The 25578-nt window shown below is 49.0% G+C and overlaps 1 protein-coding gene, 1 long non-coding RNA gene and 1 pseudogene across 3 annotated transcripts in view, besides 2 other annotated features; 2 read left to right on the top strand and 1 right to left on the bottom strand.

Moving 5' to 3' along the window:
- XPO6 (exportin 6) overlaps positions 1-18730 on the top strand; it is a 113990-nt gene extending 95260 nt beyond the window's left edge. For both annotated transcript variants that reach the window (NM_015171.4, NM_001270940.2), the window contains 9 exons: positions 3656-3802; positions 4700-4889; positions 9029-9184; positions 10209-10323; positions 10492-10663; positions 11999-12160; positions 14761-14859; positions 15018-15248; positions 18067-18730. In NM_015171.4, coding sequence (NP_055986.1) covers positions 3656-3802; positions 4700-4889; positions 9029-9184; positions 10209-10323; positions 10492-10663; positions 11999-12160; positions 14761-14859; positions 15018-15248; positions 18067-18168 — 1374 coding nt within the window. In that variant the 3' untranslated portion in view covers positions 18169-18730. The remainder of the gene's footprint in view (positions 1-3655; positions 3803-4699; positions 4890-9028; positions 9185-10208; positions 10324-10491; positions 10664-11998; positions 12161-14760; positions 14860-15017; positions 15249-18066) is intronic.
- On the top strand, positions 5059-5533 carry TPRKBP2 (TP53RK binding protein pseudogene 2; annotated as a pseudogene).
- Positions 6963-19216, bottom strand: LOC124903669 (uncharacterized). The gene is made up of 2 exons (XR_007065032.1): positions 19128-19216; positions 6963-7381 (listed from the first exon to the last, which is right to left on the bottom strand). It is a non-coding gene; the product is annotated as an uncharacterized LOC124903669 (long non-coding RNA).
- Positions 18877-19376: an enhancer, noted in NCBI's record as "H3K4me1 hESC enhancer chr16:28108651-28109150 (GRCh37/hg19 assembly coordinates)". NCBI's record gives its function as "activates a minimal SCP1, AML or CMV promoter by ChIP-STARR-seq in primed H9 embryonic stem cells {active_cell/tissue: H9 hESC(primed)}" and the evidence as "EXISTENCE:reporter gene assay evidence [ECO:0000049][PMID:30033119]".
- Positions 24349-25300: an enhancer, noted in NCBI's record as "H3K27ac-H3K4me1 hESC enhancer chr16:28102727-28103678 (GRCh37/hg19 assembly coordinates)". NCBI's record gives its function as "activates a minimal SCP1, AML or CMV promoter by ChIP-STARR-seq in primed H9 embryonic stem cells {active_cell/tissue: H9 hESC(primed)}" and the evidence as "EXISTENCE:reporter gene assay evidence [ECO:0000049][PMID:30033119]".

Here is a 25578-nt window from a genome sequence, read left to right as displayed (position 1 = left end):
TGTGTGTTCTGACTGCTCCACTGATTGGAGGCTTCCCCATCTTCCTGTCTTTAGGCCTCCCTATTCCCTGAGCCATTTAATAACCCTACAATGACCTTTACGTGTTCGAGTGAAAGGAAGAGTCACATGTCTCTTACTTTAAATAAAAATCTAGAAATGATTAAGCTTAGTGAGGAAGGCGTGTCAAAAGCCAGGATAGGCCAAAGGCTCTTTTTTTTTTTTTTTTGTCGTTTTTGTTGTTGTTGAGATGGAGTCTCGCTCTGTCGCCCGGGCTGGAGTGCAGTGGCGTGATCTTGGCTCACTGCAAGCTCCGTCTCCCGGGTTCACGCCATTCTCCTGCCTCAGCCTCTTGAGTAGCTGGGACTACTGGCGCCTGCCGCCTTGCCTGGCTAATTTTTTTGTATTTTTTGTAGAGACGGGGTTTCACCATGTTAGCCAGGATGGTCTTGATCTCCTGACCTCATGATCTGCCCGCCTTGGCCTCCCAAAGTGCTGGGATTACGGGCGTGAGCCACCGCGCCCGGCCTGGCCAAAGGCTCTTGAGCCAAACAGCCAAGTTGTGAATGCAAAGGAAAAGTTCTTGGAGGAGATTAAAATTTCTGCTTCAGTGAACACATGAGTGATGAGAAAGTACAACAGCCTTGTTGTTGATATGAGGAAGGTTTCAGTGGTTTGGATAGACCAAGCTAGCCACAACATTCCCTTAAGCCAAAGCCAAATCCAGATCAGGCCCTTCAATTCTGTGAAGGCTGAGAGAGGTGAGGAAGCTACAGAAGAAGAGTTGGAAGCTAACACAGGTTGGTTCATGAGGTTTAAGGAAAGAAGCCATCTCCAGGATGAAGCAGCAAGTGCTGATGGAGAAGCTGCAGCAAGTTCTCCAGAAGTTCTAGATCACTGCTGAAGGTGGCCATACTAAACAACAGATTTTCTGTGTAGATGAGACAGCTTTATACTGGAAGAAGGTGCCATCTGGGACTTGGATAGCCAGAGAGGAGGAGTCAGTGCCTGGCTTCAGAGGACAGGCCAACTCTCTTGTCAGGGGGCAACTGCAACTGGAGACTTCAGGTTGAAGCCAGTGCTCATGTATCATTCTGAAAATCCTAGGGCCCTTAGGAATTATGCTGAATCTACTTTGCCTGTCTCTATAAATGGAACAACAAAGCCTGAATGACAGCACATCTGTTTACATCATGGTTTACTGAATATTTTAAGCTCATTATGGAGACCTGCTCAGAAAAAAAGATTCCTTTCAAAATCTGCTGATTGGCAATGCACCTGGTTACCTAAGGACTCAGATGGAGATGTTCAAAGATATTAGTTTCCATAGTTTCCATGGCTGCTCACACAACATCCATTCTGTAGTTCTGTAGCCCATGGGTCAAGGGGTAATTTTGGCTTTCAAGTCTTACTGTTTCAGAAATACGTTTCATAAGACTATAGCTGCCATAGATGGTGGTTCCTCCAGTGGATCTGGGCAAATAAACTGAAAACCTTCTGGGAAGGATTCACCATTCTAGATGCCATTAAAGACATTCATGATTCATGGAAGCAGATCAAAATATCAGCATTAATGGGAGTTTGGAAGAAGTTGGTTCCCAGCCTCATAGATGACTTTAAGGGGTTCAGGACTTCAGTAAAGAAAGTAACTGCAGATGTGGAAATAACAGGAGAACTAGAGGCGGAGTCTGAAGATGGGATGGAATTGCTGCAATCTCAGGATCAAGCTTGAACAGATGGGGACTTGCTTCTTGTAAATGACCAAAGAAAGTGGGTTTTTGAGATGGAATCAACTGGTGAAGATGCTGTGAACATTGTTGAAATAACAGAGGATTAGAATAACACATAAACTCAGTTGATGAAGCAGCAGCAGGGTTTGAGAGGACTGACTCCAACTTTGAAAGAAGTTCTACTGTGGGCAAAATGCTATGAAACGGCACCGCATGCTCCAGAGAAATATTTCATGAAAGGAAGTCAATCGATGCAGCAAACTTCATTGTTGTCTTATTTTAAGTAATTGCCACAGCCACCCCAACTTTGAGCAACCACCACCCTGTTCAGTCAGCAGCAGTCACTTTCAAGGAAGACCCTTCACCAGCAAAAAGATTACCGCTCTGAAGGCTCAGATGATTGTTAGCATTTTTAGCAATAAACTACTTTTTAACTAAGATATGTACATTGTTTTCTTAGACATAATGCTTATTGCACACTTTATAGACTATAGTGTAAACAAAACATATGCATTGGGAAACAAAAAAATTAGTGTGCCTTGCGTTATTGCATAATTTGCTTTATTGTGGTGGTCTGGAGCTGAACCTGCAGTATCTCTGAGGTATGCCTGTATATCCTTCCAGACTTTTTTCTCTTTTTATGTAATAAGTAATAACTAAGTTTGTAGATAGCTGGAGATATAGCTGCTTTTGCCTAACAGTATGCCTTCATTTTCCTTTACATATGTACAGCAACTTCAGATTGTCAAAATGTCCAGTGGTTTTTTTTTTTTTTTTTTGTGAGGATGTATAATAATTTTCCTATTGCTAGAAATGAGTTCCTTTTATGTCCATCTTACATATGCTAGTGGGCCTGAAGGATAGATTCCTGGAAGTGGAATTACTGAGTCAAAGGTTATATCCATGTTAAAACTGGACAGATTCTATTATGTTATCCTCCAAGTCTGCTATATTACTAGAGCATATATGTGTTTATTCTTTGAATTTTTTTGTAGTTTTAGTCATACATAACATTTTATACATTTTTAAACAGTGTATTGTTTTAATAACAATGTGTTGCTTTCCATAAATTTATGTTGTATTTATAATTATAACTTTGAAAATAGTCCTATCCCATCAGGAATATGTTTCATTATTTTCCTAGCCATTGCTGGACTTCTAGGCTGCCTCCCTTAAAAAATAAAAAATTATAAAGAATTCTGAAATGCACACATTCATGAATGTAGCTTTACCCTTTTAGGTAATCTTCTTAGAGTAAGTATTATAGGTTATAGGTAATCTTAGAGTAAGGGTTAAAGGTTAGGAATATTTTGTGACTTTGGGAAATCATAGTAATTTTTTTCCCGAAGTAATTCTGCCTGCCTTGACTTTTTGGTGTGCTGTTTTTATCTTAGTCTTACCAGCATTAGGTCCCATCTGTAACACGTTTTTCTCCTTTGCTAATTTGAAAGCAACAGTGGTAATTGAACCAAGTATTTGATAGGCATGCTGAAGGGAAAGCAGTAGGAGAGACTGGCCTGAGTGTTAAGGCACAGAAGAGTCGGGGGCTCGGGGAGATCTTGGCTCTGCTGGAACAATTAGTGAGGTGAAGAATTCTAGGACCTGGATGACATGCCAGGGAGTGTGATTTAATAGCTGATAGGGAGCCACTGCAGACTCTAAGCTGAGAAGTGCCTGAGTTCAAGGCTGCTGGTGACTGTGAAGGAGGAACGGGAGGAGGTGATAATGGCTGCGGCAGGAGCTGTGGACATGACAGAGAAGATGGGCTTCTCTTGTAGTCATCATAGGAAAAATTCTTGAGCTAGATAGGGCCTAGGTGGTGTAATTTGGAAACCAAGAATGACACATAGCTTGTGGCTGCCTCAGCAAAGTTCGAATCCCAGTCTTACAGGGATGTGGTGAGCTGACGTGCCCTCTTCCCTCTGCAGGTCCAAGACAAGCTGCTGCTATCTGCGTGCCACTTACTGGTCTCACTGGCCACCACCGTGCGGCCCGTCTTTCTGATCAGCATCCCTGCAGTGCAGAAAGTATTCAACAGAATCACTGATGCCTCTGCCCTGCGACTTGTCGATAAGGTGAGGCCCCAGAGCTCCCCCGGGGTCCCCAGGGCTGTGTGACTGAGACCCAAGGAAGCTGAGGAAGAAGAGTCTGGCCTTTGATTTTGTACTCAGAGCTTACAGGCTGTACCAGCATAGACAGATTTCTTATTGTGTGGCACTGACACAGACTCAGTGATTCTCATCGTGCCCATTCTAAGGCAGGCAGTCAGTGTGCTGATTGAGGCGTGGAAAAGCACCTCCCAGTGTGCAGAAAGGTTTTGCTGCTTTGCAGCCTGGTAATTTCGGCCAGTGTTGTGAGAATTCTCTTTGCATTCTTTCTGATTCAAAGCAGTCTGGTTTTTGTTGTCACTGTTCTGTGTGTGTTCTTTGGGGTTGAGAAGTGCCAGGCAAGTGCATTTTCTTAGAATCCTCAAAGGAGGCTCAAGCTAGAAGTTTAAAAACCACCTAACAGGAGGGAGGGCAGGAAGGTTTGAAGAGGGTACCAGAGGGCACCAGGATGTGATTGCAGGATGTGACCTGGTGCTAGGGGCATGGATTGTCACGGATTCTCCTGCAAGTCCTGCTCTAAGTAGCTTCTCAGAGGACTCAGAAGCCACCAGCTGAACAATGCCTGAGATTCAGTGTCTGCAGTGTGATTTTTCCCTCTCTAATACTTCAAGTATCAGATTAGAGAGGAAACGAGAGGTTAGCTCTGGGTTATGCTAGACCTAGACATGGTGCTATTACTTCATTTCATCTTCCTCCCTAAGTTGCCTTCCAGTTGGACCAAAGGCCTTGCCCAGGTTGCAAGAAACGAGCCTGGGGGCTAGGGTTCCAGGTGTGCAGCCAGCGGGTGCTGAAGGCTGTGTTGGGCATGCCGCACCACGGTCTTTGGCTCTGACCTCTGATGGATGCCTTTGGGGTCTCTTGTAGGCCCAGGTGTTGGTGTGCCGAGCCCTCTCTAACATCTTGCTGCTTCCGTGGCCAAACCTTCCAGAGAATGAGCAGCAGTGGCCCGTGCGCTCCATCAACCACGCCAGCCTCATCTCTGCACTCTCCCGGGACTATCGCAACCTGAAGCCCAGTGCTGTTGCCCCACAGAGAAAGATGCCACTGGATGACAGTAAGTGACCCCTAGGCTAGGACAGCTGGGGAAGGAGGTAGGCAGGCATTGTTCTTTGTGGCAGATGAGATTTGCCCCGGAGGCTCCTGAGGTAAATTTTTTTTGTTCATAGTCCCACAGAGGCTGAGCAGGAAGTCATACTTGGGGGTGGGATCCTGCTACCTTTGGAATTCAGTTAAGACAGCAGCCAGACCTATTTCCAGAATCAAACTGTCCCTTCTCTTATTTAAAATGTAAAAAATGCTGGAGCCCTAAGAAAAAATGGAAGACACTGGTGATGGTGCCTTCTGTCTATAAAATACATCTTAAGGTGGTTATTGATCTATTTCAGATGCTTGTGTAGGCAAACAAAGCAGTTCACCTCTACACGCTGGGAAAATGCGCTCAAGAACTATTTTTCCAGATTGGTTTCAACCTTTTTCCAAATACAGATCTTCCAGAGGTTTTGAAAGAGCTTAGTTTCTTAAAAAATGGCACTTGAAGTTTGCTTGTTTATATTAAAGAAAGAGGGAAAAAAATGAATAAGGAAATATCTCTTTGAAATAACAAATAGTACCGAAATATTTTAAAAATACGAGCTCCTTTCACAAAAAGAAAATAATAGAACATTATTAGATGGTGCCATTTATGGAATGTCAGCAAAAATGCTTTGTGAAATGTCAGAAATAGTAATAAATACTATACTCTTTAAAAAACACTACTTTTATAACTAGGAAGATTAACATATGTGCATTGTACAAATACATTAAAATAGAATAATACAAAGAAGGAAAAAGTAACTCCTAAATCTGACCAGTTTTAATATTTTAGAAAGTAACCATTTTAACCATGCTTCCTTCTTACCTTCCCTTTTCTATTTTAAAATATGCTTCATGGTTACATAGCTGGATGAGAGTAGCTGACATATTGAGGGTATACTGTGTACTAGGCTCTTGCCTTGGTGATTCTATATCCATCGTCAAGTCTCTGGCTATGCCAGTATCAACTTTCAAAGTCTGGTGTTGGTCTCTTCCTGGTTCTAAGTATTTTTCAAAAATCAGTAATTCATTCAGTTCTTACATTAGCCTTATGAGTTCGGTACTGTTAGGATCTTGATTGATGATTAGCATGAGGAAGCTGAGGTCTAGAAGATTAAGGAACTTGCCCAGGGCTTGCATCCAGCTGTTGTGGAGTCATGCTTTATCACGTGTAATGGTCTCCTTTCCGCACTTTATCTTACATGGGAGTTATGTTGGTCTGCATGGGCGAGGATATGCTCAGTGGTAACAAACAACTCCAAAAGTGTAGTGGCTTAATACAAGAAGAAAAAGGATATGTTGTTTGTACTATATGTCCAGCTTGGGTCAGCAGAGTGGGGAGGTCACATAGGGACCCAGGCTGTGGAAGGCTCCATTTCAGTGTGTTCACTCTGGAAGGGATTGTGGTGAATTGCGTAGTGGTTCTTAAAGGTCTTGCCTGAAACTAACACTACTTCCACCTCTATTTCCTTGGCCAGAGCCAGCTACATGGCCTTGGCTTAACTCAGAGGGCAGGGAGGTGTGATGCCACTGTGTGCTGAAAGGGTTTGCAGTGTAGTATGTGAATGACGTCTTCAGTATGCTGACTGTGTGCAGGCACTGGGTTGAGCACTTTGTATACGTTATTTCATGTAACTTCCTGTGTAACCCTGTAACCCTGTGAGGTATGTCTTATCCTCATTCCACAGTGTTGAAATTAAGGTTGGAAAGTTTCATTTTTCTTATCTCAACTTTATACTTTGAAAAAAAAAAATTCCAAACCTACAGACTAGCCAAAGGAATAAGAAAATGAACAACTGCATCTCTCTCACCCAGATTCACTAATTGTGAATGTTTTGCCACATTTATGCTTTTTTCTGCAACACACTTTTTCTTAAAAGCCAGCTGTTTAAGTTGCAGATAATTGACACTTCATCTCTGACTACTTAACCTTTGTATCTATATAGAACAAGATATTAAACATTGGTACAATAATGTTATTTAAAATGTAGCCATATTAACACTTTCCCCAGTTGTTACCAAATTGTTCTTTTTTGCTTTTAAAAAATCCAGGATGTAATCTAGGATAGTTTTATTGTGTTTGGTTGTTATATCTCTTTAGTCTCCTTTGATCCAGAAGAGCATGCCCAGTTTTTGTCTTTCGTGACATTGGCATTTTTGAAGCGTCCAGGCCTGTTTTCTTGTCATATGTCTCCTAGTCTTGTTTTGCCTGATTGTTTCCATAGGTTGTGGTGTAGTGGTGCATGTTCGTGTTCGCATTTCCTCTTGCATTGCTTCTGTTTGTCCCATCCTTGGTGATGCTCAGTCTGGATGCCTGTTGGGAGTAGGGCCTGCCAGTCTGTCCATTGGGAAGGTGCTTGGCAGGTGTAATTGCTCAGGACTGTAGAGAAAGTGGGCGAGGTCAAGAGTTGGACTTGGGTCTGAATGGCTCCAGCTCCTGTGTTCTGCACCACTTTGCTGCATTGCCTCTTTCTTCTTGAAAACAAAAAAAAAAAAAAGAAAAGAAAAAAGGTTTTAATGGTTTTATAATGTCCTGTCTCATGGAAGTATAACAGTTACCCACCCCATTCTCCTATTATTATATACTTATAGTGCTTTCAATTTTTGACTTGTATTTTTTTTAAATACATCTTTTGTCCTCGTTTGAATTTCCTTAAATGCCAGAGGTCAGATTTTGGTCTCTTGACTGTTGGTTTTTTGCTCTAAACTGCTTCCCCTGTTGCCTGTGCGTTCTTGAGGAAGTGGCTGCCCTGAGTGCAGTTTCCTAGCTGAGTAGAAGTCCATGTGCTTGTAGTTGTGGACGGCTCCCTGCTCAGCAGTGTGGGTGAGCCTTTCCTTTACTCTCCAGTGTCACTGTGACTGGGGGACCAGGACCAGGCCTGTGGCGAGAAGCGTCTTCCTTCATCCTCAGCCCTGTGAGTGGGGCGATGCTCTCTATCCACGTGTTCAGATGAGGGGCAGCAGGGCCAGGCCTGCCTCCATCTGCCTCCTGAGCATGTCTTCTTTCTGCCGTACCCCTTCCTCAAAGCTGCGGCAGTCCCACAGAGGCTGCTGAGCACTGGGGTTCGGGGGACCCAGAGACTGCTGCCAAGTGGGAGGCAGCTCTCAGCCCAGCTCTGGCTCAGCCTCTGGTGGTCGCCAGGGTTGAGTCTGCTAGGCTCAGGCTGAGCCATGGGCGTCACTTTGGGGAGGCTGGTGGGAAACTCTGCATCTTAAGAGGGTGACTCCACTCGCGCTGGGAACAATGGCAGCATCTCCGTCCTGGACCTTCTTAGATGGCTGGCACACTGCTAGCATCGTTCGGGACCTTGTCTCTAATCCCCACTGCAGCACTGCCAGAGTGGGGTTGTCGGCTCTCCCAGATGGATGAGGGTCCTGCCCATGGCACATAGCCTTCAGATGGTCACCTGTGGTTCATAGCCAGGGCTCTCTGACCTCTGCCTGTTTGCGGCCCACTACATCTGTTTTCCCTGTGTGCCATATGGAGTCAAAAGTCATCTCAGGGTTAGCATTATGTATTGTCAATAACATAATAACAGTAATTATATGCCTTATCAAGCTACGGGGCTAATAGGCCAAAGATGGATCAGGCAGGTTGTTCTTGCAGCCAGCACCATTACATGTGCATGGCAGGTGTTTGTGGGATTACTGGGCTGGAGTAGCATCCCACTGAGTGACAAGGTTTGAGCTGCATGTGTCCGTCCTGGCCTGTGACCTTATGACACTCATTTTCTCACCAGTCTATTCACCATCTTTTAGATTTGATTAAATCCAAGGCACCCAACCTGGGGGTACATTTATTTATCTTTTTTCTTCTGTGGACTTGTTGCCAATGGCCAGAGGCAAAACAGAGGCAAAAACCTGAGCAAGCAGGCAGGCAGGCATCTTCTCCCCAACACACATTCCAGGCTTCTGGAGTCCTGGCAGTAATAATAGTAAAAACAAAAACTAAAACATAAAGAGAGGAGAATTTATATTGTAATCAAGAGACTGTTCCTTTAGTGAGACTCGTGTGATCATCTTCTTGGTACCTTTGCAAGTTTCCTCCCTCTCCCTTGTGTCTCCTCTTACCATGCTTTCTCCCCAGACAGCTTATAACCTGCAACTCATCTTGATTTGCAGCCAAACTGATTATCCACCAGACACTCAGCGTCTTAGAAGATATTGTGGAGAATATCTCGGGGGAGTCCACCAAGTCTCGACAGATTTGCTACCAGTCGCTGCAGGAATCTGTTCAGGTCTCCCTGGCCCTCTTTCCAGCTTTTATCCATCAGTCAGGTAGGAGCTGGCCCAGAGGCCCCACTGGTGGGTGGTGCTAACAAGGGCCAGAATACCCACTTAGATCTGTAGAACACACTGAGTCGGTGCAGTACAGGCCTTGACTTGTTCCGTGCAACGAAACCCGGTACTGAGGGGAAAGGGCAGTGATGTTTATTTGTGGAGTCTAGGGCCAAGGCCCTTTGGAAAAGTGAGCAGAGCTCTCCATATGGGCCTTGGCACCTACAAGAGAAGGCAAGAGAGCTTTTTTGGCTTAGTTCTCCTTATTTTGTGGCAAGGTGCATTTGCCGAGATCGTTCCCCTCACCCTTGTCTGTCACTGTCAGTGATAGAGGGCCTCTCTAGCTCTGTGGATGTACTTGCCTAGCTCTCATGACAGCATTATAGTAGTCTTGTCAGTTTTACAAGAGAAATATCAGGCACTTCTCAGTCAGCAAATATTCATTGCCTCTTGCAAGCAGATTGCGTGCAGTTAGGGCTGAAACACACTACACAAGATGATTGTTGAGATCTGGAAGTGAAACTGCCCTATATGTAACCAGTATTTTCTGCAATTAATCCATTTAATGGACCAGGGCCATGCAACCTAAATACACCTTCATTATCCACTTTCAACCACTTAACCCCTGACCCAGCTGCAGGGATTATTAGTCATAGGGGGAAATGGCTTAAGCACTCAGGTGTTGACCCAGTTGGCATTCATCAGTGTGGGCACAAAGTGATCCCTCTCCAGTGAAACTCTGACCATCACTGGATGTCGGGCAATGAGGGAGGGTTCGAGATGACCTTCATTTCCTGTAGTGAGCCACCAGGTGGAGGTTCCCTATACCAGAACTATTTTCTCAGCATGTCCCTAATCGTTTTCCACTTTCCATCATTGGCCCTGATGGTGTTGGGGAAATGTTTCCAGCAGGAAGCTGTAGAGAAAGCTGATAGTGCAGATTTCAGGAGTAGGTTGATGAAGCCCAGGGTTCTGGTTCTCACTGTGTGCAAGCCTCTGACGATATCTCTGCCCCTTTCCTCAGATGTGACTGATGAGATGCTGAGCTTCTTCCTCACTCTGTTTCGAGGCCTTAGAGTACAGATGGGTGTGCCTTTCACTGAGCAAATCATACAGACTTTCCTCAACATGTTTACCAGGTAAGCACAGACCCACCATCTATAGTTTTCAGATTCAAGGGAGAAGTGGTGGGTCTGGCGACAAAGTGTGGCTTTTTGCTCCTGTTCTGCACTTGCCACAGCATGGGTTTTCATGCTGGCCCCCAGAGAAACATGTGGTTGCTCACTGTGTGGCTTTCTCCTCTGTAGAGAGCAGTTAGCCGAGAGCATCCTCCACGAGGGCAGCACAGGCTGCCGGGTGGTGGAGAAGTTTCTGAAGATCCTGCAGGTGGTGGTCCAGGAGCCAGGCCAGGTGTTCAAGCCCTTCCTCCCCAGCATCATCGCCCTGTGCATGGAGCAAGTGTATCCCATCATTGCCGAGGTAGGGGCTCAGACGGTCCCCTGTGCAGCACCCCCCATCTCCAGATTGGGAAGGGAATGAGATTTCACAGAAAATGTATTGTGTTTTAAAGTTCATTTGTTAGTTTAATATGCTTGTAAAGTAGTTTCTCCCAAGGAAGAAGGCCTTTAGTGGTGTGGTACAGTGTTTTTATATTGATTGAGTTCATTGGAGCTAGTCTAGTGTAAGCATGGCAGTTATTCCACAGGGTCAGTTGCTAAGATCAGTCTCCTGCGGCAAATTTTATACCTTTAAGAGACTCTGGTTTTCTATAGCAAACATTCTAACATATGTACTTTCCTATTAGAAACATTCATGGTCTCGAGGATACAAGGCAAGTTCTTGAAACCATTCAAACAAACCTTTCAGTGTTACAGGAAAGCCCTTTGTCCTTCTTAGAAAATAGGCAGGCACTCAGCATAATAAGACCCGGAATAAGTATAGATTTAATTTCAGTTTTTTTGGTAATAGTCGTATAAATAAGAGTTAATCTTTAACTGTCTGAACTGAGACTGGGACAGGTCTGGTTGCTGTGCATTACGAAATGCACTGGGCCTATGAGGCTTCTTCTGTGGATGCTTGTGGCCCCTGGTGTCTATTTAATTTTAATCAAGGCTGAACTGAATATATGTGGGCCTTCTAATTTTGAATTCTGCAGAGACATTTGGAATAAGGGATTGGGGGAGTTGGAGTCAATGAGAAAACACTGCTGAGCCTGACCCTTCTCCTCTAACTCCTCTCAGAATCCTGGCTACTGGGAAAGAGGAGACTGGCCCAGAGAGCCTGGCTCCCAAGTGTTCTTTAAACCCTCCCCTTCTGGGGAGCAGAATCGCTTTAAGGCGTTGGGTCTGTCTTTAGCCTCCGTGGTTGTGTAAGACCAACAGGTTAGTGGGACAGCATTTTTTATCCTGGGAAAAGGAACAAGCAAGAAGATCTGACAGGTCGAATAGAACAGGAAATCCATACTCCTAATTGTTCATCCACTTGGTAGCTTTTTTCTAGTGTAAAAGCTGAGTGCTCATCAGAAAAAGGGGCCCTTGGCACTGACCCGTGCATTCTCTCTCAAATGTGGGCCATGTCTCTCCTGAAGAACTCGCGGTGTGAACCGCCAACTCCAGGGGCTAGATGTCTTTTGCACAGGCAGTGACAGGACTCCAGGGGCTGGATGTCTTTTGCGCAGGTAGTGACAGGCATGTGGATGGAGTGTTGACACTCGGCTTGCTGTCACGAGGCGTCTCCTAGGCATCTTTGCTGCCCTGGGCCCAGGCCGGAGCAGCTCCGCAAGCTGCAGGTCTGAGCGTCTGTGTGTCTTTGCAGCGTCCCTCCCCTGATGTGAAGGCCGAGCTGTTTGAGCTCCTTTTCCGGACGCTCCATCACAACTGGAGGTACTTCTTCAAGTCCACCGTGCTGGCCAGTGTCCAGAGGGGGATCGCTGAGGAGCAGATGGAGAATGAGCCCCAGTTCAGTGCCATCATGCAGGTAACGTGGGGGCGGGGTTGCTGCCAGGTGACTTCCTCTAACCTGACCACTGCAGCGAGTCCTGTCTTCGAAGCCCCACAGTCTCGGGTCTGAAGCTCAGTTCTGCCTGTTAGTATTGATGAAGTTAATTAATTTCTTGGAGCCTCAGTTTCTTCATCTGCAAAGTGGAGCTAATGTTGCCTGGGTCACAGGTTTGTTGTGAGGTTAAATGAGATGACATACACAAAGTGCATGACACTTGGAGATGCTTGATAAACGTCAGTTCCGCTGACCTCATAGTGCTGTTTCCCCAAGTGTAAAGAGCCTGCCTATGCCAGAGTCACCGAGGGCCTTCTTAGCGGGGAGCTGCCTGAATATGAGTCTCCGCAGGAGGGCCCCAGACCTGCACTGTGATTCTGACTCTGACCATACTGGGAGAAACACTGCCCTGGGAGGGAGCATTCGCTTTCAGGGCAGATGCAGCTGTCCATTGGAGAGAGTGCACTGTCTGGGGGCTAAATACCCCTTGCTGTGGAAGACTGGGACGGCATCACCTCGCCCAGACAGCCAGCCTGCTCTGTGGCTGTGTCAGGCACGCTCCCAGGGTCTGCACTCAAGTGTCTGACGTTCTCATCTGAGTCTAGCTAGGGGAGTCTCTTTTGGTATTTTCAGTGCATGCTTTTCCTCATGGGGAAGCAAGAGGGATTTCCACCCTCCCTCCAGCTCCCTACTAGCACACAGCATGCACACAGGCATGCACGTGCGCATGCGCGCGCACACACACACATACTGACTCTTGTGTGGCAGTTCTTTTCAGGCACGTGCCCTTGCCCTGGCCTTCCCATCCCTGGCACCCACCGAGGCCTCAGGTCTGCAGTACTCAAGTGTTTGCGCCTCCCCTGCCTTTCTCTTGAACCCTGTCCTTGCCTGGAAGACTTCTTTGGCACGCTGGTGCCTGGTCCCCACTGAGGGCTGGTGAAAGGCACTTTGGAGAATAGTTTCACAGTTTGGCAGTTTCTTTTAAAGTTAAGTGTGTAGTTACTGTATGACCTAGCAGTCTCACTTCTAAGTATTTTACCCAAGATAAATGAAAGCATATGTTCACACAACCTGTACACTGATGTTTATAGAAGCTGTTTCATAATTGCCAAAGCTGGAAACACTTTGAGTATCCAGCAGCTGAATGGATGAACAGGCTCGTGCATGCCTCTAAGGGACTGGCACTCGGCAATAAGCAAGCATGGATTCTTGGTACAATCAGCAGCATAGATGAGTTTCACATGCATTCTGTCAGGTGAAAGAAGCTAGATGCCAAAGGCTATGCATGGTAGGATCCCATGCCATTCTATGACATTCTGGAAAAGGTAGAACCACAGGGACAGATAATGAGCAGTGGTTGCCTTAGGGGTGAGGGTGTGAGGGGACGTTCCAGGTGATGGAAGTGTCCTGTCTTGGTTGTGATGGTGGTGGTACAAATCCACAGGTAGGTCAGAATTCATAGAAAGATAAACCTCAAAAGTTTACTCTGTTATACTTCCATGAACCTAACTTTAAACAGTAAATAAGTGGAAACTATTGGTCATCATGGAGATCTCATCCCTGCTGCAGGGATTACAAGATCCTCCTCTGGTAGCTTAGGGGCCCAGGGACAGAATGACAAAGCAGTCACCACTTGTTTTGTAGGGGGGTCCTGCAGACCACCGGCCTCCCCGACTGCCCCCATGGTCACTTTCTATTCTTTCTGTTGGAGCAGGGCACTTTGTGTTGGTGTGCGGGGTGTTTCTTTTTGCCCCTGAACTAGTAATTTTTTTCTTTTTTCTTTTTTTGAGATAAGTCTTGCTCTGTTGCCTAGGCTGGAGTGCAGTGAGTGGTAGGATCTCAGCTTACTGCAATCTCTGCCTCCTGGATTGAAGTGATTCTCCTGCCTCAGCCTCCCGAGTAGCTGTGATTACAGGCGTCCGCCACCACGCCTGGCTAATTTTTGTATTTTTAGTAGAGATGGGGTTTTACCGTGTTGGCCAGGCTGGTCTTGAACTCCCACCCTTCAGTGATCCGCCCACCTCGGCTTCCCAAAGTGCTGGGATTACAGGACTGAGCTTCTGTGCCTGGACTGAACTAGTAACTTTTACACCCAGGAATTCCAAAGCAGTTTAAAAATACTTTGCTTAGCCCCCAGGCAGAGGCTTAACCTCCAGGTGGAGGCTCCATGAAGGAGCCTGTAGGGCTTGTGGCTTTTGAGACGGGGGATGCAAGAAGGAGGGCAAGGGAGGGGATTGCTTGGCTTGAGCAGGAGCAGGCAGGCAGGCTTTGGTGTCTGTCTGCCAGGATTGCTGAGGGATTTGACTAGAGGTGTGAGCTTCTTGCTTCAAAGCCAGGTCCTGTGATGGGTTTCTAGAGGTTTGTTAAAAAAGGTATATATGAGACCATAATAAGAAGCAAGGCCCGGTGGGGAAAACATGAACTCTGAGACTTAGGAGGAGCGTCGTAGAGGTCTGAGCTGGTGGGCCAGAAGCATCAAGACAATGGGTACCCTGGCCCTGGCACTTGTTCTTCTGACATGGGGTAGATGCTCCAGAAGTGCTTGGTCTTGCAGTTTATAAAATGGTGGTCTCATTTCCTAGGCTTTCGGACAGTCCTTTCTCCAGCCCGACATCCACCTTTTTAAACAAAATCTCTTCTACTTGGAGACTCTCAACACCAAGCAGAAGCTGTACCACAAGGTAAGTGCCCCAGCTCTTGGAAATATTCTTCCATCAGGGGCATTGTGGCCTGTGTCCCACCCTCAGGTTACTCACTGGAGAGTGTGACAGAAAGTGGATGGGACCCGGGACAGGCCCCTGGGGGCTGGCTGCTGCTCACCTGGTCTCTCTGCCTGCAGAAGATCTTCCGGACTGCCATGCTGTTCCAGTTTGTGAACGTGCTGCTCCAGGTCCTGGTCCACAAGTCCCATGATCTTCTGCAGGAGGAGATTGGCATCGCCATCTACAACATGGCCTCAGTCGACTTTGATGGCTTCTTTGCCGCCTTCCTCCCAGAGTTCCTGACCAGCTGTGATGGTGTGGATGCCAACCAGAAAAGTGTGCTGGGGCGGAATTTCAAGATGGATCGGGTGAGGAGAGAAAGAGGCCGGGCTAAGAGGAGGGCAGAGTGGGCACGCAAGCCTGGCACCTGTGCAGCAAGGAGGGGGCACATTGAGGCCTCTGGGCGTGGTCTGTGCCCACCCTGCAGCTTGGCGGCAGCTCACGAGATGCCTGCTGACCTGGTGCTGTAGCCTGATTGAGGGGCACAGCCTTTTCCCCAGTCTTGGTGTCTGTAGCACGTATGTTCTTAGTCTCAGCCATGGAGGTCCCGAGTTCCTGGCTCTGCAGCCCCTCCATTTGTCTTGGCATCTTTGTTCATACCCAGGACCCTGCCGTTCTCCCTCCTGGGTGATGAGCCCCGGTGGGGCCAGCATTGGAGTGTGCCCAGGCTTGCATTCAGGCTGAGATGGTTGGTGCTTGGGAGCTGCACTTCTGGGTCCCCAGGGTTAGAGGTGGGACCCAGGTTCCCCGGCTGTCTTGGGCTCTTTCCAGACCAGCCCCAGCTCAGCTTGGGCTGAGTTGCTGCCAGGTCCTGGGAGGAGCCCTCCTAGTACTCACCCTCTTGTCCCACTGCTGCCACCTGTGCAGGGACTGTCAGGTGGGCTGTCCCCACCCGTGCAGCACCTCGGTGGGAGCTGGGTGCTGCTGGCTCTTGGTGTCCATGAGGCCATCTTGTTGGAGCCTGACAGTGCCTGGGACCTCCTTCCCCATGGGGCTCACCTGTTCTCTTCTTCCTGTGTCAGGTGACCAGGCCTCTCTCTTGCCTGATAGGAACTTCTGGGAACTTTTCCTTGTACCGTTTTATACTTGATGAAATTAGGAAAAGAAATCGCTTTCTCCCTGGTCCTCTTGGGGTTCTTGACCTGAGTCCTCTGTGAAGCAGCTTGTCCACGGCTCCACCGTAGTGCTCAGATGCACACACTGCTCTCACTGGTGCAAACCTGGCCGCCTGCTTTCCTCATTTGCCACGTGTGGCAGGGAAGCTTTTGCTTAGACTCATCCTGTTCTCCTTTGTCTTGGGGTCTTCCTTTTCTTGGGACTTGTTCTCTCCTAAGCCTCTTCCAGTTCACTTCAGCCCCTGGATATGTTTTTTCCTTTTTCTAGAGGCCAGATCCTAATACTTAATGATCAGCTTCTAACGACATCAATATCAGTCAACTTTTTGATTTAAAGCTGTGGTTTCAAAATCTAGTTATAGGCCAGGCGCGGTGTCTCACACCTGTAATCTCAGCACTTTGGGAGGCCAAGGCGGGCGGATCACTTGAGGTTAGGGGGTTTGAGACCAGCCTGGCCAACATGGCGAAACCCTGTCTCTACTAAAAATAAAAAAAATTAGTCAGGTGTGGTGGCACACGCCTGTAATCCCAGCTGCTTGGGAGGCTGAGGCACAAGAATCTCTTGAACCCGGGAGGCAGAGGTTGCAGTGAGCGGAGGTTGTGCCACTGCACTCCAGCCTGGGCGGCAGAGTGGGACTTTGTCTCAAAAAAAAAAATCTAGTTATATCAGAAGCACCTGGGGTACTTATTAAAAATGGAGAAACAGACTTCTGTGTTCTACCCAGGAAATTCTGGTTTGGCATTTGGGAGCCACTGATTTAAAAGACATCCCTTAGTTGGTTTTTTGAGGGTAAAATAAAAGAATCACCACCTTCCATTCAGTCACGCACTGTGTGTTTGAAGCCAGCTGCTTCTCAAGCCCCGGGCCAGGAACTGGGGCACCAGTCCCAGCCTTCACCAAGTCTTTCATGGTAGACAGGCCAATACAGCACCCTCTGTGGACCACATAGTGCCAAGCATGTGACATGTCTTGGCTCGAGTAAGCCTTCTAACAAGCCTCTGAAGTGTGGGTCCTGTTACTCCCCCATTTCACAGATGGTGGGGGCTCAGAAGGTGAGCAGTTCACAGAACTTGGAAGTGGTAGAGCTGCGAAGCAGGAGGCAGACCTGGGTGTTCTGGCCCCAGAGCCTGCACACACTCCCCAGAAGCAGATTGCTCAGGACAGAGGCGCTGAGCTGGCTGCTGGGGCCAGGAAATAGGAGGCATCTGTGCAGACTTTGGGAAGAGGCAGGCTTTGAATGGAGTTCTGGAAGAGGAATAGTGGTTGGGCAGGAAAATGAACTTGGTCCTGCTCATGGCTCTGCTGGGGCTTGCTGGGCCTGTTTGAGTCCTCACCGGGACCTACACTGAAAAAAAAAGCAGGGTCTCACCGTGTGCATGATGGCGGAGGTCAGGGCCTCACTTCTGGCCCAGGGCCTTCCATGGCCCACGCTGCGCCCAGTGGGACAGGCCTTGGGACTGTGTTTGCTGCTGCTCGGGTGGCTCTCGAGGGGCAGGGGCGGCCTGGAGCCCCGTGGGTAAAGGTTCTGCAGACATTGCTCGGTGTGCGCGTCACCTCAAGGGGCCATGGTGAAGAAGAGGGCTGTCACCACAGCCATGTCTGCGTTTGAGGGGCCGGACTCAGGAGCAAGTGTGCTGGTCTCTTCAGTGTGAGCTGGGGCCAGCTTCTTCATGGTGCAGCGCTTTGGTCTTTCTGTCCTTAGACTAGTGGTTCTGGTAGGGCTTGGTGGCAGCCTTGTGGTGAGGACTCAGTGAGTTGATGTCTGTATGTTGATTGCAGCAGTGTCTGGCACCCGAGAGGCCCTAGGGACGTATTCCTCTTGTTCTTTTTCTCCCACAGCGCCTGGCACAGAGTCTCTGTGACACGCAGTGCAACAGTGAATAGAAGTTTTGAGTTTTAGAAAGTGCTCCCCTATCTTCAGTGCACACTCTGGGATGGAAGTAGCTGTTGGGGTCTGGTGGGTGGGTGACCTGGTGTGTTGTTGGCTGCAGCTATGCCCCTGCCTTCCAGGACCTGCCCTCATTCACCCAGAATGTGCACAGGCTGGTCAACGACCTGCGCTACTACAGACTCTGCAACGACAGCCTGCCCCCTGGCACTGTGAAGCTCTAGGCCTGCTACTGCCTGGGGACACGGACTTCTGCTGCTGCCACCTGCGCCAGCCCTACCTTCCACCACAGATGTCTCCCAGATGGGCCTTGGTCACACTCCTTGGCTTCTCCCACCGCAAGCAACGCTGCCTGCCTCTGCCGCTCCTCCACATCTTGCCGCTGCCCAGCAGAGCTGGCTTCTGGGTCCACCTGAGCACTGGACGGTGCTCCCAGGGCGTTGGAGCAGGCGGAGGGGTGTGTGGCCAGGTACTAGGAGGCACCAGGAAATCCCGCGGGGTGGCCCATGCAGACCAGGCGCACGTGGCTCATGGGGCAGAATTGCCAAGGACAGCTCACGACAGTGCCACCTTCTCACCATTCCAGCCAAGGAGAGATGTGACGTTGGAACTGCTCTGGCACTTCTGTCAAGCCTCCCCCGCCCCAATTGCCTTGAGATCTCTGCTCTTTGTCAGAGATTTGCAAAGACTCACGTTTTTGTTGTTTTCTCATCATTCCATTGTGATACTAAGAAACTAAGAAGCTTAATGAAAAGAAATAAAATGCCTATGTTGTTGTTCTAGAAACCCTGGCTGGGGAGCTGCTTGCTACTCACAGCCTCCTTGAGGCCGGGTTCCCAGCAAGGTGCATCCTGATGGGAATGTGGGCAGTGCGGCTTGGAGTGGGCTGGCTCCTGGCGTCTCCCACCTTCTAATGGCATCTCCCTGACTGCTCTTACTCAGCGAGGGGAGGGGGTCTCACTGACAGTTGGCCAGATGATGGAGGGAGGCTGCAGTCTGGGAGGGGGTCTCACTGATGGTTGGCCTGGTACTGGTGGAGGCTGGAGGCTGGGAGGGGGTGTTGCTGATGGTTGGCCTGGTGGTGGAGGGAGGCTGGAGTCCAGGCTGCCTGACTCCTGTGGCCCCTGTGGCACCCACTCCCCCTGCCCCCCAGGGTGGGAAGTGTGGGCTCCACCTCCCCCACCTGCTAGGGAATAGATTCCTTCCCACGATGTGCAGCAGGACCTGGCCCTCCGTGGCCTGAAGTCTCGCTGGAGGACAGGGAGGTGGGGTCTCATGATGGATTGGCTGGGTGAGAATAGAGGTTGGAGAGGGAGGGAGGGTGTGACTCTGTGAGGGTGGGGATGGGTGGGACTTGGGGCTCTATGATGTGTCTGAGAGCTGGGGCTTTGCCCAGACGTTCATGTGTGGAAGCGGCATTTGTCATCAAATTGTCCAGAATCAGGAACCAGCACCTCCTCCTGCGCTAAGTATCATGATGACTGGGCAGGCCCAAATGGGGTGGTTGCTGATGTGGACTACAGCGCCTGGCAGGGAGAGATTGGCTCACCTGGACGTGAGGGCAGGCGTTGACTGGCTTGTTGCCAGGCCTGGGGAAGTGGGGAGCTGTGGGTTGATGTCTGTTTCTGAGACTTCCATAGGAATCACCTGGGCAGGGGCTGGGCCGGGGTGAGCAGGGCGTGCATGATGTGTGCTTGTGTGGCAGGCCCTCGTCCATGTCAGTCACAGCCTCCCGACTGCAGCGAGCTCTGCTCCAGAGTTCAGAAAGGAGAGAATAGAAATGCCGATGGCTCTTCTGCAGAAAGGAATTAGCATCCAATTATGCCTGGGCTATATATACCACCTCACCTGCCTGCTAGGGAAGGCCAGGAGTGCTGTCTGTGCCTGAGACTGTGAAAGGGCTTTTTCCTTTGGAGATGGAGGGGTTGAAGGGATAGGATTTGTTGCCTGTGAACCCCACCCTTGGACAGAAGAACACAGGTAGGACTTAGGAGCGCAGAGGAAAGGCCAATGGGGAGTAAGCTGGGCTGGGATGGAGTTTTTTTTTTTTTTTTTGAGACAGAGTCTCGCTCTGTCGCCAGGCTGGAGCGCGGTGGCGCTGCAACCTCCACCTCCCGGGTTCAAGTGATTTTCCCACCTCAGCCTCCCGAGTAGTTACAGGCATGCGCCATCACGCCCAGCTAATTTTTGTATTTTTAGTAGAGATGGGATTTCACCATGTTGGCCAGGATGGTCTGAATCTCTACCTTCCACCGTAGATGTCTCCCAGACGGACCTCGTGATCCACCTGCCTCGGCCTCCCAAAGTGCTGGGATTACAGATGTGAGCCACCGCACCTGGCCTTTTTTTTTTTTTTTTTTAAGAGACAAGGTCTCACTCTGTCACCCAGGCTGGAGTGCAGTGATGCAGTCATGGCTCACTGCAGTCTTGACTTACAGCTTTTAGTGATCCTCCCACCTCAGCCTCTCGAGTAGCTGGGACTACAGATGTGCATCACCATGCCTGGCTAGTTCTGTTTATTTTTTGTAGAGATGGGATCTCACTGTGTTGCCCAGGCTGGTCTCAAACTCCTGGGCTCAAGCGATCCAAAGTGCTGAGACTACAGGCTTTTGAGACGCCATGGCTGGTCAAATGGAGGATGTTCTTTCCAGGACTGATAGCATGGCCCAGGGGTGTGGGTTGTAGTGAGCCCTAATTCTTAGAGGTGTGCGAGCTGGTCTTTGACCTGACCTAATTCTTAAAGTTTTTATTTATTTGTTTATTTTTTTGGGACAGAGTCTTGGCCTGTGGCCCAGGCTGGAGTGCAGTCGTGCCATCTTGGCTCACTGCAACCTCCGCCTCCTGGGTTCAAGTGATTCTCCTGCCTCAGCCTCCCAAGTAGCTGGGATTACACAGGTGCATGCTCCCACACCCAGCTAATTTTTGTATTTTTAGTAGAGATGGGGTTTCACCATGTTGGCCAGGCTGGTCTTGAACTCCTGACCTCAAGTGAGCCACCTGCCTTGGCCTCCCCAAGTGCTGGGATTACAGACGTGAGCCACCACACCTGGCTCTTTGATTTGATTCTTACCTGCAGTGCCTCACATAGGGCCTGGCATGAAGCAGGCTTAAGAAGCACGGGTAGAATTGAGTGAGTTCTCAGGTCCTAGACATATCCAGAAAGTGTGTCTCCCCATTCTGAGGAAGGGGATGGGGAAAGGATAGAGCTGGACAAGAGTGGGCCTTTTGGGCCGGGCACAGTGGCTCACAGCTGTAATCGCAGCACTTTGGGAGGCCGAGGCGAGAGGATCGCTTTAGTCCAGGAGTTTGAGACCAGCCTGGGCAACATGGTGAAACTTCATCTCTGCCATAATAATAATAATAATAATAATAATAATAATAATAATAATAATAATTTAAGAAAAGAAAAAAAGAGTGGGGCTTTGTGTCAGTCTTGGGTTGGGGCGGATAATGGCAGGGGGCTCTCAAGACGGCTGTTTTTCCTGCCGCCTTTGAATGTGAGGCGGCTCTTCTGTCTCCATTTGGGCGCCCATGGCCTGCTTTTCTTCTGACTTGTGTCATTTACATCTGCCAAGAGTGCAGCCACTGGCTTTGGGACGAGATCAGATGAAACCTTCATCTTCCCAATTTCCAGCATTTTCCTCCACTGCCCATCATTGGCCTCATGTGATGGAGGGTTGAATGTTTTTTTTTTTTTTTTTAACAGCATGTATTTTTCTCCTGACTATAAAATGTTTGTTGTAGAATATGTGAAATATGCAGAAAACTTTGAAGCAAAAAAAAAAAAAGTTATCCTACTGCCCAGAGAAAAACACTGTTAATATTTTGGTGTATTTCCTTTTGAGATTACCCTGTATGTGTGTAAATATGTATGGTTTTCTTTTTTCCTTTTTTTTTTTTTGTAAAATTGAGCTCCTGCCGTTCTATTTTATTTTTATTTTTTAAAAAAGATTTTTTAAAAAAACAGAGACAAGGTCTCGCTGTGTTTCCCAGGCTGGTTTTGAATTCCTAGGCTCAAGTGATCTTCCAGCCTCAGCCTCCCAAAGTGCTGGGATTACAGGTGTGAGCCACTGCACCTGGCCGAGATCCTGCTGTTTTATGGCCTCCTTTTTATTTAATATGTTGTGACCATTTTCTCATATTATTAGATGTTTTTTTTTTGAGATGGAGTCTTACTTTTTTGCCAAGGCCGGAGTGCAGTGGCATGATCTCGGCTCACTGCAACCTCCGCCTCCTGGGTTTAAGTGATTCTCCTGCCTCAGCCTCCCGAGTAGCTGGGATTACAGGTGCCTGCCACCATGCCTGGCTAATTTTTGTATTTTTAGTAGAGACGGGGTTTTGCCACATTGCCCAGGCTTGAACTCCTGACTTCGAGTGATCCGCCTGCCTGGGCCTCCCAAAGTGCTGGGATTACAGGCGTGAGCCACTGCGCCCAGCCTGATATTCTACAAATATCTAAGGCTATCACTGATATTCTACAAATATCTAAGGCTGTCACTGACGATGCAGTGATCATCCTTGTGTGTAAATCTGTGTGTTTGATTGTTTCCATAGGTTGGATTCCTGCATGTGAAATTGCTGGGTCAGATGTGTCTGAGGCTTTTATGGATATTTCTGGGGACTGGTTTCTATTCTGAAGGAGGAAAAATATCACAGATTTGACCAAATCAGCCCCTGGTTTTGTGGGTCTTGGAGATTCAGAACTCTAATTGGTTAGTGGCCTAACCAGGCCTGCCCACTTCTGAGCCACATCCTTGTCCCAGTGTCCCTCTCCAGCGTGAGACCTCTGCAGAGGAGCTGAGACCAGGAGAGGAAGGTTGCTGACAGTTCTAGCTGGCTCCTTGGGCCTGGGCAGAAGAGCCATGATTGTTGGCCATTTATTAATAACTATTATTTGCTGAATTCTACAAGCCTGGTGCCCGGCTGCAGGCGAAGGACTCCTTTTCACTGCACATGCAGTAGCTGGTTCCTCCTTAGGTGGAGTCAGCTCCGAGATGGGCCTTGTGTTGTGTGCACGGAGGATTTTGGTGACTGTGGTTTGATCACTGTGGCTCATCTCTGAGACCAGCCCTTGGGAAAAGCTGAGGTGCTCCCCTGAAATGACTCTGGCTGCCCCATCAATCCCCCTCCTTCTCCCTCACCCCTCCAAAGCCTCCTCCTCCAATCTCTGTGAAGCCCTCCTCTGTGAGGCCCTGCCAAGCGCCCCTTCCTCCTCGCTGCCCCGCAGCACCTGTGTCCCCTCTTGTCCCAGGAACCGTGGTGTCACCCCTACCACCATGAGAACCTGCAGGCAGTGGGGGGCTCTCTGTCCCTAGCAGGCAGCGTAGGGCTTGGCTCAGAGCAGGCACCAAAAAATTCTTATGTGCAGGAGGATTTTTCAGATTTATCCAAATGGGTTTTTCTTCAAGGAAGAGGTCTAGAGCCCCGCTGAGGCATCTTCTAACTAATTTTCAACATAATGAAACCGTGTCCTTGGTGTCTGCTCAGAACACCGTGGCCTTACCTTGCTGGGCTCCTTAGGGAAAAGCACTTACGTGAAAGGCTCTTCAGTGAAGAATTTCTGTAGCTCAAGGACTCCCTTTTCCGCCCTTCCCTGTTTGTATCATTTGAAAACATCTTTTAAAAGCCTTGTTAATTAATTGCCTCAGGGCTTGGAGGTGCTGAGTGGGGGCAGGCATTGAGAGCAGGCCGGGTTATGCGGCCTCCTGGGGTGGGCAGAGAGAGCTCCGTGGTGCTGGTCAGAGCCTGACTCAGAGCCCCCAGGGGCCTCTGAAGGGTGGCAGAAGCTTTCCCTGGGTCAGTCAGGTACCAAGGGGTGGGTTGGAAAGTTAAGTATTTCAATGAAACGTCCCAGAGATCCACAGACCTGACGTAGGCGGCAGGCATTTTGGCAACAGGTAGATTTTTTTTTTAAAGACACTCAGGTTTTGGTTGGGCACAGTGGTTCACGCCTGTAATCCCAGCACTTTGGGAGGCGGAGGCGGGTGGATCACCTGACGTCAGGAGTTCGAAACCAGCCTGGCCAGTATGATGAAACCCCGTCTCTACTAAAAATACAAAAATTAGCTGGGCGTGGTGGCGTGGGCACCTGTAATCCCAGCTACTTGGGAGGCTGAGACAGGAGAATCACTTGAACCTGGGAGGCAGAGGTTGCAATGAGCTGAGATTGAACCACTCCAGCCTGGGCAACAGAGGGAGACTCTATCTCAAAAAAAAAAAAAAAAAAAAAAAAAAGACACTCAGGTTTTTAATTTTTTCCCCTTCTCTCTTTTTAATTTTTTTTTTTTTTTGAGACAAAGTCTTGCTCTGTTGTGCAAGCTGCAGTGCAGTGGAGTAGTCATAGCTCACTGCAACCTCCATCTCCTGGGCTCAGGCAATCCTCCTGCCTCGGCCTCCCAAAGTGCTGGGATTAGAGGTGTGAGCCAACGGGCCCCGCCCCTCCCTCCTCTTTATTACAGATTATTATTTGCAGATAAAAAGACTCGCCTAAACCATATAACATTTCAGTGGGTGGCTTTCAGCCCTTTCCTTGCATTTGTGTGCATTGGCCCAGCTGTACACCTCTGACTTTCAGTGGGAATAAATCATATTACTGCCTGGCAGGGTTCTGCCCCCTGAGGCACACACTCTTTTTGGTGGTTCTCACGGACCCTAGAGACCCCAGCTGTCTGTGGCAGTTTGAACCTAAGCCCTGGACTGGGGCCAGTCAGGTAGAAGTGGCCTCTGTGGAGGGTCGTGGGAGGTAGTCTGGGGACCCTCTGACCTACATGGGTGTCCGGCACTATTATTGGTGGCTGAGGCCAGAGACAGAGCCTGTTGTCGGGGTAGTACCTGAGGATGGTGATCCCCAATTAGCAGAGGCTGCAGCCTACCCATGCCTGCCTTCCCCAGCACCGTCCCTGGGTGCCACACTGGAGCTGATTCCTGAGCTCCCCGTGTCTCGGCGACCTTGCTTCCAGCCTCTGAAGGGCACTCGAGGAAGACTGATTGAGACTCTGGGGAAGGACGTGCGTAGCATCTCAATCTCCCCTCACAGAGCCTGCCTGGGGAGGGCTACACCTCGGGAGGCTTTTATGTACGGAGGCATTTCCAAAACTGGTTTGTCCCTCCCCTGCCACAAGAGACCAGCGGGGGCCTGCCTTCTAGAGACACACACCCACCCCCTTAGGGTTCCCTGCCTTCAGAGCAAATGCTTACCTATGAGGAAATTGAGGCACACAGAGGTTTAGTGACCCACCCAAGGCCACACAGCGAGTCTTCAGCAAAGCTGGGGTCCAGCTGGAGGCCTGGCTCCAGAGCCAGCGCTGGCTCAGCTCTACCTCCTCTCAGCTGCTCTGGGGACACCAAGGCTGCTATGTGCTCCTCAGGATTTAGGGGCCTGGGAATTCCCTGAGCTCATGTCAGTTACTCCTAAACGGCACATTCTGATGGCGGAAGGAGACAGCATCCCGGTCACTGTTCCCATTGAGTCACAAGGAGATGGAGGCCCAAAGCATGACTCACCTGGGGTCACAGAGCTGGAAGGTGGCTGGGCAGGAGTTTAAACCAGGTCCATAGCATTCCAAATGCTGCCTTTTTCTCTGTTTCCAGCCAGGGGCGCCGTGGCTGCTCTGTCCATTTTACTGCCTAGTGAA

The sequence above is a fragment of the Homo sapiens genome, chromosome 16, assembly GCF_000001405.40.
Source record: "Homo sapiens chromosome 16, GRCh38.p14 Primary Assembly".
NCBI classification, from domain to species: Eukaryota; Metazoa; Chordata; class Mammalia; order Primates; family Hominidae; genus Homo; species Homo sapiens.
This window is presented reverse-complemented; position numbering and strand designations above follow the sequence as displayed.